At 51.4% G+C, this 15,407-nt stretch overlaps 1 annotated feature.

Moving 5' to 3' along the window:
- Window positions 12,413-13,229: an enhancer, noted in NCBI's record as "H3K4me1 hESC enhancer chr16:87165805-87166621 (GRCh37/hg19 assembly coordinates)". NCBI's record gives its function as "activates a minimal SCP1, AML or CMV promoter by ChIP-STARR-seq in primed H9 embryonic stem cells {active_cell/tissue: H9 hESC(primed)}" and the evidence as "EXISTENCE:reporter gene assay evidence [ECO:0000049][PMID:30033119]".

Here is a 15,407-nt window from a genome sequence, read left to right on the forward strand (position 1 = left end):
GTTAGTTGTTAAGGGTCTGGGCTCAGATTTAGGCTCCTCCAGCTCAGAGATGACAGAGCCGTGTGACCTTGGACATGTTACTCTCCCTCTCCATGCCTTGGTTTTCTCCTCTGCACAGTAGAGGAAGGAACAGACGCTGGCTCACAGAGCCATGGAGATGTTTAAGTGAGGTACTGCTCGTGAACCGCCCCCGGGCTTGGCCTCAAGAAGCTGTAACTGCTGTGACCTTTTAGGTCAGACCGATCAATGCTTTGGGACAGTGAGACCGTCACTCTCCGGCTTAGTGGTAACATGAATTTATACTACACGTTTTGGCTGTTGCATGAGTTCTTTCTCTCTGCAATAATGTGGAGTGTCTATCAGTTAGTAGGCATTCCGGTGCAAGGATGAAGGATGGCTTAGATGATAAAACATAAGCGTCATATCGGAATTTTAAAAGCCAGTAAATAGGTGCTTCTGGGGTTGGCTTGGCACCAAAATCGTGCCATCCTTACCCAGGTCCTTTCTGTCTTTCTGCTCTGCTGTTCTCAACTATTCTCCCCTGGATTATCACCTCATGGTCCCAAGGTGGCTACTGCACCACCAGCCACCTCAACTATTTTCAATGGCAGGAAGTGGAGCAGGGCTGGGATAGCAAAAAAGGACCTATTTGCATGAGCCCCCACATGGCTTCCTTTCCTTTATACAGGAAGAAAGTTCTTCCCTGAAAGCCACTGCTGACTCCCCCTTGAGTTATTGACCAGAACAGGGTCACTAGGCACCCTGGCTGCGAGGAAGCCTGAGAATGCACGTATCTGGCTCACCCCATCTTTGCAGCTGGAGAAAGGTGTTGACCGGGGCTTTGGTGTTGGTAACCAACAGTTTCTGCCCCAGGGTGTTGGACCATAATGAAAAACTGGGGCTCTCTAGCCCCACGCATGGAATGAACTGAGAGTTGGGAGAAGTGAGGCACGACCAGGCGTCCTGATTTCCCCACCAGGGTCTGGCCTTCCTGCCAACTTCAGACACAAGTCTGAGCAAGCACCTCCCCTCTCAGCCTCCCCTGCACAATGAGAGGCTTAGAGCAACCTCCTAAAGAAACAACAAAAGGGCCAGGTCACTGCTATTTTTAACAACATAAGAAAACAGAATTAAGGTTGTTGGGGAGTGAATTATTGATTTATCACATTAATTACTGAAAGAGTGAGTGTGGGAAGACTTTCAAGAAGGAGGGATTCACTGGGAGCTGGGTGGGTGGGGCGTCGGGGGATAAAGAATGCTCTTGATCCTAAAGGGCTCTGAGCTGTGTTGGAGGCTGGGCTGGTCTGAGACCTTCAAGGGAGGTGGGAATGCCTAGCACGAAGGGACCAGGACAAGGGTGGAGGGGAGAAAACCCAGTGTTTATCTGGAGGTCCATAAAGAGACAGCTCTTACCTAAAGCAATGTTTCCACCCCATGTTCTGCCAAACACTGGTCCCCCAGGATGCTATATGAAGGACAGGGTTGCATGATCCTTTACATTAGGAAACACCATATGTTCTAGCCCAAAGCAGCCAATAAAAATGCAATGTGAGCCACATAAATAATTTTAAATGTTATAGTAGACGTGTTAAAAATGTAAGGAGAGGCCAGGCGGGGTGGCTCACACCTGTAATCCCAGCACTTTGGGAGGCCGAGGCGGGCAAATCACAAGGTCAAGAGATCGAGACCATCCTGGCCAACATGGTGAAACCCTGTCTCTACTAAAAATACAAAAATCAGCTGGGTGTGGTGTCGGGCGCCTGTAATCCTAGCTACTCAGGAGGCTGAGGCAGGAGAATCACTTGAACCCGGGAGGCGGAGGTTGCAGCGAGCCGAGATCGCGCCACTGCACTCCAGCCTGGCAACAGAGCCAGACTCCTTCTCAAAAAACAAAACAAAACAAAACAAAAAGTAAGAAGAAACCAAGGAATTTATTTGTTTAGCCCAATGTACCTTCAATATTGTCATTTCATTATGTAATCAATATAAATGAGATTTTTTCACTCTTTCATACTACAGCTTCAAAATCCAGCATGTACTCACACCTAAGGGACATCTCAGTTCAGATCAGCCCAACATTGGAAGCTGTGGCCCTAACTCCTCGTGGAGGTAGACAAGCAACAGCCCCTCTATTTCATCTTTTTTCTTTCTTTTTTCCCGGCACTTTTTGCTCAAGAAGCTAGTGTTGCAGAGAGCTGGGGTAGGGCCTCCCAGCAAGCATGCAGCTTCCCGGGCAGAGAGAGCAGACTGGTACCTCAGAGGGGCTGAAGCCAGGCATCTGTGATCTTAGCTTAGGCCAGCCTGCTGCCAGGGTGGAATTTCTTTGAAGTCTTCTGTTTTATCCTAAAAACTTATGGAGATTTTACATCTTACTCCAAAGAATACCCATGTTTGTTTGAGTATTGGAAATGTTTTAGATTACTTGGCGTCTAGGAAAAATCAAAGCTTAGCGTGTTTACGTTGTGGCTCCCCCTGCCCGTTCCGTCTCCCCTTGGGGCTGTGCGCCTCCCAATTTAAGATGCACAGGATTACCTGGTCTCCACGCTTCCTTCCAGCTCTGGGTGCCCATGACTTTTTAAAGAAATTAAACCAAATGGTCCATTTGCATTTAGGCAATCCATGAGCCTATGTGGAGTTTTGTTTGTTTATTTCTATGTTTGTTATGGGATTCCCCAGCCTTAACCATTCTAACGTGGGATAACCCCCACCCCATTAACCATTCTAATGTGGGATAACTCACTAGCTAGGAGCCTTAGACAGCAGATCTTCCGACCGCTCCCTTTTCACAGCCAGTAACTCTTCCCATTGTGCTGAAAACAACCTATAGCTCTGACTAAAACTCCCCAGAAATACCCCCAGATGTGTCCCTAGAAAATCCTTCCTCCTGGAAAAGGCATGGTCCTCACTGAAATTACTTTTGAACAACCAATACTTAGACAGAGATCCCCAATATGATTATAATGTCTAATCTTCTTTAGAGGCAATATATTACCACTAATTAACGTGGTAAATGTTATACTTAATGTAAAATTTTTCATATAAATAAACATTTTAATAAATACAAATATACTTATATTCATTATATAATTTGTTCTATATAACGATTACATAAAATTAATAAAAATATCATATATAAAATGTGTCACCTAAATAAAATATAAAATTCTACAGATATATATGATTGATATGGGAGCTTTATGATAAATATAATTGTGTAATATATATGTTTATAAATGAACAAATATATTATAAATTATATTTTAAATTATTTTAAAGATTATTATCAATAAGAGTGCCACTAAGTATCTTCAGCTTAAAGGGTCCAGGAGGTCTGAGATGCACACAGAGGCTCCTAGGCAGCATGCGGTGGTTTGAGTCCCAGCAGGAGGCTTCTGAAGACTGCAGTGGACCTGAACATCCCCCAGAGACACTGGACGCTTCTGAGGCAGGCAGTAGCTTTGGTGGCCATTTGCATTTTCTAAAGAGGGCCACCACAACATATCCCAGGCCGCATGCTGTTTTTAGGATGTGACCCTGATGCTCCCCCAGTCAAGTGGTGAGGAACCCGTGCCCAGGTTCAAGAGGAAGTTTGTGACTGTCTCAACCAGTAAGGTACAGCAGAAATGACTGCCAACACTAGACCATAGAAATGCCACCAGTGTCCACCCTGTGTGCTTAGAACTCTGCCTCCATGGTGGGAGGAAGCCCAAGCAGCCACGAGGCAGACCGCGTGCAAAGGTTCCAGATGAGAGACCCTAATGAAGGTTCCAGTTAACAAGCAGCCTCAACACCAGACATATGAGTAAACACACTTTCAGCAAATTCCAGAACCCCACCATCAACTCACCTCTAAGCTTGGAGCCCCCGCAGCTAACACCACACAAGACACAGATGAGCTGTGCCTGCAGATCCCTGCCCAAAGTACGGTTCACGAGCAGAAAATGAAAGAATGTTGTTGTTCCCATCCCCTAAGTCTGAGTGGTTTGTGACTCACTGGTAAATGACAAGGTCGCAGCGTCCGCAGCAGCCCTGAGAGCCTGGCGAGTGTGAGTCCCAGCCAGGCCTGCCAGGCTTGCTGCGTGATCTCAGGCTGCTTGGCCCCATAAGCCCCTGGTTCCCTGTCGGTTAGACAGCCAGGATGCAAACTTCCATGCACCTTACAGAGTTGTCATGAAGGTGGAATGAGATGCCATGGGGATGTTTCATTTCACCAGCATCGCTACTGTCGCTAGTCAGCACATGGGGCAAAACCCATTGAAAGCCAATTAAATCACGCCCCAAACCAAGCCCTGGGACCTTCCCAGCAAGCCAGAGCAGCTGGTTCTCACTATCACGTGGGGATAGACCGTTCCTTCCTCACATAAGCACAAGCAGTGGCCAGAAAAGGCGCAAGAAAAATGCACCTCTCCAGGGGTGAGACTCTCACCTCCTTGAGAAAGATGCTCACTAGGCGGGCTGAGCTCACCAGGACCCACTGAGAGAGCAGCAGCTTCTCACATGCACACCACACACTCACGCAACACACAACACATACACGACACACACATGCAACACACCACATACACAACACACACACCACAAACCCAGCACACATCACATACACAACACACACGCACACAACACACCACATACACAACACACACTCACACACACCACATACACAACACACACTCACACACACCACATACACAACACACACACCACACAAACAGCACACACCACATACACAACACACACGTGCAACACACATCACATACACAACACATACACACAACACGCGCAACACACAACACACGCACACATGCAGTGCACACATAACACACACAACACACTCGTGCATGCAACATACATGCCACACACACCACATACACAACACACACACCACACAAACAGCACACACCACATACACAACACACACGTGCAACACACATCACATACACAACACATACACACAACACGCGCAACACACAACACACACACATGCAGCGCACACATAACACACACAACACATGCATGAAACATATACACATGCCACACACACCACATACACAACACACACACAAGGAACTCATGCAACACACACCACATATACAACACACATTCACATACGCAACACACATGCCACACACACACGCAGCACATACTCTCACATGCAACATACATACCACACACACCACATACACAACACACGCACGCAGCACACACACTCATATAACACAGACCACATACACAACACTCACACATGCAGCACACACGCATGCAATGCACACACCACAATGACACACACCACACACACAAGCACACCACACACATCACATACACATGCAACACACACACATATATGCACAGCACACACAACATGCCACACATACATACCACACACTCGCACACATGACACAATACACACAACACACTGCATATACAACACACATTCACACACAGAACACACACTCCACACAGTCACATACACAACACGCACACCGCACTCACCCCCATGCCACCCATGCAGTGCTGAGCGTGTGCAGTTGAATTTGCGGATGCTGAGGTCCCATGCATCTGAGTGGCATCAGTAAGCGCAGCCCGTGGTCAGCAAAGCCTCCCGTGCTGAGGCGAGGCAAGCCATGGCTGTGTGCACCACGCGGCGGCTACAGAAACTTTCGTGAGTCTCACTGCCCCGTGTGGCCCGGGATCCCACAGGGCTGCTAATGACATACAACATAAGCACTGATTTAACGTTCTAAAAGCTAACAGATTCTGAATTCTGAAACGGATCTGGCCTCCAGGGTCTCCGATAAGGTATTCAGGTAAGGTGCCTGTGGGACAGAGTGTCCCAATTTCGGACAATTGAAAACACTAAGGCCAGCTAACAAACCATCAAGGCCGAGCTGTGGTTTCACGTGCTTATCTCACCATTCCCCACGCACCCCGAGGCCGGCAAGCCGTGCAGTGGAGAAGCCGTGCAGCCTCCGGCCGTGCCCTGCTGGCTGCCTGCTTAGGGTCAGCAGGGCGATGGCCTTGCAGGGGCCAAATGCACCTCCAGCCTTGGCACGGTCGTGTTCCCCAGTGCCAGCGTGCCCTCCCTCGCTGCAGCCGGCATCAGGCTCTGCATTAAACACCAGATTAGAGCTGTTTGTCACAGGATTTACAGGGATTTTCCCCCATGGCGAGAGATCCTGCCTTTCCCCAGGACATAGAATACAGCTGTCAGGGGCTCCCTCCAGCCATATGGGCACAGCTGGGGCTTAGGTGGGGTTCAGAGAGGATGGGAGCAGGGAAGGCTCGAAACCTCGTCGGAATAAGGCAGCTGCCCCTCTGCCGAGGAGGAGGAGCCAGGCCCCCCATCCAGACATATCTCCTGCACTTTGAAACCCTGGAGAACCTGGCCACTTTGCCGCTGAAGCGCTGTGCCCTGGGCAGACATTACCAAGAGCTCAGAGCGCAGGTCTCCATCACATGCATCTGGTTTGAATCCCAGCCCTGCTCCCGACTCTGGGGCTTGGAACCAGGCATGAAAACTTTTTGAGCCTCAGTTTTCTTGTCTATGAGGTGGGATGTTGACAATTGGATGCATGTCCTGGAACTGTTTTGATGCTGAGACACATATAACAAACTCAGTCACCAAAAGACTTTGCATAAGAAAGCTCGTAGCACCTTTATCCAGAGCACCCAGAAAATGAAAACAGTCCACATGTGCATCAACCGGTAGGGGCACAGTGACCTGGACACGTTCACAGAATGGAATTCTGCCCAGCAAAGGAAAAGAGCAAGCCCCTGCCATCCCCCAGCCATACAGAGGGACCACCCAGACGTCGCAAGTGAAAGAAGCCCACACGAAATGGATCATGCTGTTAAGAGTCCGTGGATATAAAGCTGAGGATGAAAGTTAGCTGCAAGAGGCCACTGGCTGAGAGGGAGGAGCAGGGAGCCCAAGGGCACTGGGAGTGGGCTGTGTTGCCACCTGGGCATGGTCATGCCAGGACACGTGGGATAACTCACTGAGCCACACTTAACGTGAGTGCTGAGCTACTCCTCAAGAAAAAAGAAAGTCCTGGCAGGTAGTGAGGACTCAGAAGATGGGAGCTTCTAACTTGCCTGCCCCTGGTCCTTGTAGGTGGCCCTCTGCGCCGGCCTGTCAGTCTTTAACCAGCAAACAAACAAGCGCCTGTGAAGGCCCTAGTGATTTTATGCCCCTGGGGATTTGTCGCTTTTCTCTTAAGTTGGGATTTTTCTGTTTGATTCCGTTGTGCCTCTCTGGTTTCGTTATTTTTTTCTTTTGGGAGAAAAAGCAAAGTTGGGGAGTGGGAGGGCAGTGCAGAGAGGAGAGCGGGAGAATTGGGCTGGGGCCAAAGTAACCAGCTGCTTTCCAAGACAAGCCTGTCAGCCTCGCTCCCTGGAATTTCCTCTGCGTGTGCTCGTGGGCTCAATTTTTCCATAAAGTCCCACGTTCCGGCAGGGGACCCAGCAGCCTCCCCAAAGGCCGCTCCGTCGTGGTCAAGGACTGGCTAAGTGGCTGCCTCCCGTTGCAAGACCCCCGGAAGAACCTGGAAATGGTCCTCAGACATGGTGGACTGCGGCTTTAATTTGTACTGGGAATGGGTAGATCCCAGCTCAGCTCAGAGTGAGGCCTGGAACCTTCCCTCCCTTCAGGCCAAAACGCCTCCCCATGGATTCTTTAAACACCACCGTGTTTATCTAGAAGGCCGGCAGGCAGAGGCTCTGCTGAGGCTGACGTTTTGAGTGAACTTGCTTCTCACCTCCCAAGCAGGGGGCTCTCTCTCCCTTCTCCAGAGGTGGGCTTGGCAGGGGGAAGGCGAGAGCCTGGGGGGACCCTGGACTTGCTGCACGGGCGGCCCCAGCCCCAGCTCACTGGCCATCCGGGGAGGGGCACAGCCATCAGGACACGGCCAGCTGGGGCTGGGCTCACTAGGATGCGGGTGGAAGCCCTGGGCCTCCTCTGCTTCAGCCTGGCCGTGCAGCCCAGCCTTGAAACATCCTGTCACAGCATGCTGTAAGCAGGGCATCCAGACCCTTTCTTGCCACTCCATTAGTGCTGAGCCTGGTGATCGTAGTCAGACCTCCAGACCACCAGGTCAGGCCAGGTCCCCACCCCATCACACCTGCATCCCCACCACTGGGCAGCTGCGAGGGCTCCACCTGGCCAGCTGAGCGTTGACGGCTGAATCCTAATGTTACCAACAGGAGACCAGGTGATGTGTGCCTCCTTCACCCAAATGGAAGCTCCCCACAGCACTCCCAGCCTCTGCTTCTCAAGGGCTCCTGGAAACCCCTTCCTTCCTGTTCTGGGGCTTCAGGGCAGGAGGCTGCACAGACTAACTCTCACCGCTCAACTCTGGGTGCGTTGCCGTCATTGGACCATGTGAGACCCTTGCCCGGGGAGGCTTCACAAAGGCCCCTCTCTCCCTGGCCCTGCTCCCAGCCCTGACGGGCAGTATCTTATCCTGCCTCACAAGTTTCCACAGATGTAAAGGTGTTCTTGTGCTATGTTGTGCATATGGATTGCTTAAAACATCTTATTGAGGATAATATTCATACCGAAAAGTACTGGACTCAAAGAGTTGTCACCAACGGAACACAGCCAGAAAATCAGCACCTGGATTGGAAGACCAAGTCTACCCAGCTTCTGAGAACCCCACTGGGGCCCCTTCCACACCCTGCTTCACCAAACAAAGAGGGCTTTTTATTTATCATTTCTTGCCCTGTTTTCCCACTAAGCATCTTGTGGGTCCTGCTGGGGGGCTCTGTGCATATCAGACCTGTAGTTTCCAATTTGGGTGAAGATGCATCTTGTTCCATAACTTGCCTCCCTGGCCCTTCCCCATTCACCACTCCCCCAAGGGGTCACACACACAGCACTCCCACACCGCACCACATCCTCACCCGTGTCCCCTTACGAACATGGGGAGGACGTCTTAAAATGTATACAGGGAAAGGGTGCACCTATAGTTCCAGGTACTTGGGAAACTGAGGCAGGAGGACCACTTGAGCCTGGGAGTTCGAGGCTCTACATCACTATGATCTCGCCTGTGAATAGCCACTGCACACCAGCCTGGGAAACAAAGCGGGATCCCATCTGTTTAAAAATATATATGTAAATGTGCACAGGGAGCAAAATTGCTGCTGGGTATATTAACTTCCCATTGGTGCTGCAACAAATTATCACTGACTTAGTGGCTTAAAACAACACAAATTTAGTACCACCCCATTTATTCTGAAGGTCAGAATTCCAAAATGACATTTCTTGCTGGGCAAAAATCAGGGAGTCAGCAGGGCTGGCTCCTTCCAGAGGCCCCAGGAGAGAAGCTGTCCTCTTGCCTTCTGTAGCTCCTGGAGGCCGCCCACATGTCTTGGCTTGTGGCCCCATCATTCCAACCTCTGTTTCTATTCTCCCCTCTCCTTTCATGCAAAGTCTCCTGCCCGGTTCTCATAAGGACCCTTGTGATGACACTGGGACCACCCTGATGATCCAGGATACTCTTCCCAACTCAAACTCCTTAACTTAATCACATCTGCAAAGCACCTTCTGCCACGTGGAGTAACATGTTCATAGATTCTGGGCATTAGTGGGTGTCTTTGGGGTAGAGCTGGGAACACTATAGTGCCAACCACATTAGCTGTGCATTGGCCTCATCAGAACCAGCTTGAGATTCAAAAGGTTTGCTCCAGTTCATGCTCCAGCCAGCAGAGCATCAAAGTTCCTATTTCCCCACGTCTCCACTTCCTTCCATTCAGCCAAAGTGCCTTCCCTCCACATCCAAGACCAGGGCCTCCTCCTTCCTGATTCTGACTTGGAGGACAATTCCCTGCGAGACAAAGGGCCCTCCAAAGACACATCTCTTAAAACATGATAAAACAGAACATCCGGTGCTGGTGCAGCTGTGATGAAAACGGCAGCCTCACACCCAACCCACGAGAACACAAAGCAAATTGGCAACAAGTTCCCAGAGCCTTGACAATACTCAGATTTTTGATTCTATAATTTGTTCTGGCTGACTCTCCTAAAAACATCACAGGGGAGGTGCTGGATAAATAGCCCTTCAGCTGAATTGAGCAGGACCTGGAGGCAGCACATGGGGTGGAAGAAGGGGAGAGTTAGAGGTGAGCTCTGGGTATGACTCACACGCCCTTAGGGAAAATAGCCTGTAACAGCCTGCAGGAAAGCTAGCAAGTCCCCGGCTGAGGAGGGGCATTCCTTCCTGTCTGGTGTGTGGCCGCCCTGTCCTCCCCACTCACCCCCATCAGAACCTGCACCCCCCAGCTCCCCTCTTCCTGCCTTGTGTAAGGGTCACTGGTCACTGCTGCTACTTTCCAGCAGAGCAAATCAGAAACACTGCCAGAGGGAGAGGGAGAGAGGAACCGGAGCCAGAGAACAAGACAGAGCGCAAAGGAAAGAGAACCAGCTCCACGGCGATTTAAAAGAAAAAGACCCGCGCTGAAGGCAGGGAGCTCAGGCCTTCCTAGAGGTAGGTGGGTAGTGCCATCCAAGTGGTATGCCTCAAGTCAGGGTGGGAACCATGTAAGCCTCAGTTCTCACTTCTCCCCAGTCTTCACCTCTACTTTTTGCAAGAGGTTGTTGACCACGTGCCCTGGGCAGCTTCAAGACTGGTGGCTCACGCCTGTCATCCCAGCACTCTGGGAGGCCGAGGCGGGCGGATCACATGAGGCCAGGAGATTGAGACCAGCCTGGCCAACATGGTGAAACCTCATCTCTACCAAAAATACAAAAAATAGCCAGGCGTGGTGGCATGCACCTGTAATCCCAGCTACTCAGGAGGCTGAGGCACGAGAATCACTTGAACCCAGGAGGCAGAGGTTGCAGTGAGCTGAGATTGTGCCACGGCACTCCAGCCTGGGCAACAGAGTGAGACTCCACCTCAAAAGAAAAAAATAAAAAAGACTTGCACATATGGAGTCACCCTGAATAGTCCAGTGCCCAGGCCTGGCACCACTGACCAGGGCAGCATACAGATTCTCCTCTGCTTACAATGGGGTCACATCCCGATACACCCATCATACATAAAAACTATCATAAGTCGGTTTAGAATATTTTCAATTTACAACAGTTTCATCCAGATATAACCCTATCGTGAGTGCAGAAGCATGCAGGATGCCTGTTGCCCCTCACTCCATCGTGGGATGGGGACTGTCTGTGTCTTGTTTGAGGTCTCATGAGATTGGGTCTCCAGAGTCCAAATGACTTTAGAGTCATTCAGATTGTTCATAAAGACAGGAGCCTGGCAAAAAACACCTGCCTGGAGCCCCCTGTGCCCTGGGGGCAGCCCATCATCTTTATTGTTAAATGCTAATACTTATAACCAATAACAAATAGTCTCAGTCTATCCTGAACTTAATAGCAGTAAAGCCACCCCCACCTCCAAAAGGTGAGAGGTTTGAAACCAACTCTGTGTAGCCAAGCAGGGGTGGCCCCATCAATGTCCCGCAGGGTCCCCTCCTGAGGAGGTGGAGACGCGAGCATTGTCCTCTTGGCCTCCCTTCCGCCCAACCTGTCGTCCTGAACGCTTCTCAAAAAGATGCGCCGTTGCTACTAAATCTTTCTCTCTCCCTCTCTCTCCCTGTCTCTCTCTAGTTCTCTCTCTGTGTCTTTTTCTCTCTCTGTGTGTCTCCCTCTCTCTCCGTCTCTCTCTAGTTCTCTCTCTGTGTCTTTTTCTCTCTGTGTGTGTCTCCCTCTCTCTCCCTCTCTCTCTCTAGTTCTCTCTCTGTGTCTTTTTCTCTGTGTGTCTCCCTCTCTCTCCCTCTCTCTCTCTAGTTCTCTCTCTGTGTCTTTTTCTCTCTCTGTGTGTCTCTCTCACTCTCTCTCTCCATCTCTGTTGAAAACACCCACCTGGAGCTTCCAAGCCTGGCAAATACCACAGAAGGTCTACACTGGGAGCACCCGTGGTGACAGGCTAGCTTGCAGCCTGCCAGGCACTGAGGGCTCTACACATTCACTCTGAGAGTTAGGGAGCTGACTGTGCCCAGTTCACAGATGAAGAAACTGAGGCACAGAGGGCCCACAGATGGCACACGGCAAACGCAGGCTCCATCCGAGGTCAGGCTGCAGAGGCTGTACTTGGAGCCAGTGCGCTGTGCAGAGAGCTGCAGAGAGAGGAGGCAAGAAGACAGTGAAGCAGGAGGTGCAGGGAGCAGGTGAGCAAACAAATCGTGTGGAAATTGTGAGAACCCGTGAACTCGGGAGAAAACAGCCCAGATCATCCCTTCACACTCACTTTGCATTAGAGCCATCCAGAAGGTTATTAAGGGTCATCCTCCACATGCAGCCCTGCAGGTCCTGCCTGAGCAAGCCAGGCGGGGGCTGGATAACTCCTGGGGGACCCAGCCTTGCAGTCGGGGCTAGGAACTACTGGACTAAATTGTCTCCACATTTGTCCCCTCCCCAGCATTCTAGCTCCTGAGGAGACGGTGCCCTTGCTGTCTCCTTAATGAAGTGCAAGCACAGCTTCTCGTGCCCATTTGTATATTCTACACAGGAAGCCGAGATGCAGAGGGAAGAGTGACAAGGCCAAGGTCACACCGTGACCTTCACTGGTGAAGCCAGGAACAGGTGCAGGCTCCTGCCTTGCTCTCTTTCCTCCGACCTCCAGCTCCAGCCTGACCCACCTGGGTTTTTCCCCTCTGCATGCAGAGACAGCAGCCTCCTTTACAGATACAGATGTCAAGACAGATGAACAGGTAAGAGGGAAAAGGCTCCACGCTGGGGGCTGCTTGTGTCCCCCTGGGTCAGTCCAGCCTGACAAGGGGCCTTATCATTAAAGCCATGTCAGTCTACACCAGCCCCAGCAGCCGGCTACATTTCTTGGACACCTTTCCAGGAAGACTTGCCAGCGGTGCCCGTGCAGGGCCCACCTGGGACACACTGGCCCCGTCCAGCAATCTGTTTCTAATTCCCTGATGCAGGGCGATTTCTCCTCCTCCCTCGCTGCCGCGGGCTTCACATGCCTCAAGGATTACACGCTGAGTGAACTCTGTCCGCGAAGCCAAGGCAGCAGGGAGTGAGGACAACGCGTTCCATTGTTCCCCACCCGCCTTCCCAATGCCCTGATTGGCAAGAAAATGTCTCTGAGAGACGGATGGAAAGAAAACATTCCCGGGCTGAGGCCTCCCATCGGGCTGATCAGCCACCATCACTGGGAGCCGCTGGACAGATCTTCTGTTACCAAACAAAGCTCCCTTCTCCCTCCTTGGTCCCAGCTCCCAGGGAAATTAACCTCAAAATTGGGGGTGAGCCTTAGGGGACTGTTCACCCTGACTTCCGGGGCAGGCTACACTGCAAATACTCCCTCTGTCATCATGAATCAATATAATTGCTGCCATGACCGTTTATGGAGCATGTCCTATGTACCAAGCATGGTGCCAACCTCTCCACACAACAATCACAACAATGGAGAACATACAAGAGGCCCTGGCGATGCACCAGGCTCCGTGGCATGTGCCTTCCATCTCATTTAATCCTAACGACACAACTTTGACGGCGGTACTGTTGTCGGTCCCATTCTTTGCAGATGGGAAGACTGAGGCTCACAGAAGGGAAGGGAGCCCAGAGCGCACTGTGCTTAGCTAGTAACAGAGGAAGAAACTGAACCTGGGTCTGTCAGACTCCACAGCCCACCCTCCCAGCCACTTGCGGAAACTAAAAGGTCCTCCCCATTCTGCAGTGGAGATGCCTCTGTGTGTCACCCCTCACCGTCATCCCTAGTTTTAGCCAAGAACAGATCGACAGAAGCAAAGTGCTTGGCCTGGGCTAAAGTGGGGGCCTTGGTCGTGATGGGCAGGGGGCCGGGGCATCCACTGTGTGATTGACCCTGGTCACCTGCCCTGACGGCCGGGCATCCGGGCTGGAGCAGGGTCCACCTGGATGAGTCCTGGGGCTGTCAAAACAAAGGACCACAGCCGGAGATCAAAACGACAGAAAGTTATTCTCTCACAGTTCTAGGGGCCCAGTCCAAAATCACGGTGTGGGCAGGGTCGCGCTCCCTCTAGGGGAGGATTTTTCCTGCCTCTCCTGGCTCCTGGTGGCTGCCCAAATCCTGGGTTTGCAGCTGCATTGCTCCTACCTCTGCCTCCTCAACACACGGCTTCCCTGTGTGTGTCTGTGTACCTGAATTCCCTTTTCCTATAAGGACACAATCATTAGACTCAGGCCCACCCTAATCCGATAAGACCTCATCACATCTGAAAGGCCCCTCTTTCCAAATAAGGTCATCGTCTTAGGTTCTGCATGGACATGAGTTTGGGAGGACACAATTTGCCCCAGCACACCCAGCAGCCATCTGTCCTTTGCCTCGGCCAGCCTTCACAGACGGCCCACCCTGTGCCGGGGTGTGTTTCAGATGCCGGTGACACAGCCCATTAAGAAGAGTTTCAGAAGCCCAAAGAAGGAAGAGAGCACTTGTGTCTGGGGATGGTCGGGGACAGCTGTGTGGTGAAGGTGACAATTGAACTGGGCCATGGACAGGGAGCAGGAATGTGCTGCATGGGTGGGCGAGGGTGGGAGGCAGCCAGGCCCCTCCAGGGTCAACAGCATACGGGTGCACACTGGGGTCATGTGTCTTCACTTCAACAGTTGGTTTTTCAAAAAGCCCCTTCTCTTGTCGCTGTCTATACCACCTGGCCAGCTAGTGACAAGCTCGGCAGGAAGTTCAAGGGTGCGCTGGACCTCCTCTCCCGCTGACCACAGGCCCTTAGCACATGCCCGTACACCTGTGGAGGTGACGAGGAGTCATCCCCTTCAGGGGCTGGAGGAGGGAAGGAAGCCGGGAAGGAGCCCACGTCAGCTCCAAGTTGCTCCTGAGCTTCTTCACCATTTCCCAAGCCACAAGCCTTGGTTACCCGCCTGCCGTGTCCATGCACTGTGCAGACAAGCACTTCCCCACATCCACCAGCAACTCCCAGGCCATGAGTTCCACCCGCAGGCTCCCTGGTCCCCCAGCGATGCCATGGAAATCCTTGTGAAACCTCAGCTAGTTGCCCTTCATCTATTCTTCTTATGTGAACAAAACCACTCAGATTCGAATGTCTCCAGGCACCCATGCGACTTGTCAAGCTCACAGAGGCAGAGAGAGTAATGGAAGCTCTAACATAAACACCAGCCTCCCTCCAAGCAACCCCCCTCTCTCTATTCTCTAGGACACAGGCTGTGAATCTTGCGTCCCCAGGACTTGGTTTTAGGGGAAGACAGACTCTTGCAAATTGTTTGGAAAGCTGTGAGTGAATGGGGGACAGAGGGGAGACACTTCCTCAGAAGCCAGGTTCATGTTGTCCCCATGAGTGGAGTTCTTGGTGCTGGGACAATGGTTGAGTGTCTCCTCTGCACTCTCCTAAGCCTTAACATATATAAACCTATTAATCATCACAGCACCCCTTTAGGAGAG

This window comes from Homo sapiens, chromosome 16 (genome assembly GCF_000001405.40).
Source record: "Homo sapiens chromosome 16, GRCh38.p14 Primary Assembly".
Lineage (NCBI taxonomy): Eukaryota > Metazoa > Chordata > Mammalia > Primates > Hominidae > Homo > Homo sapiens.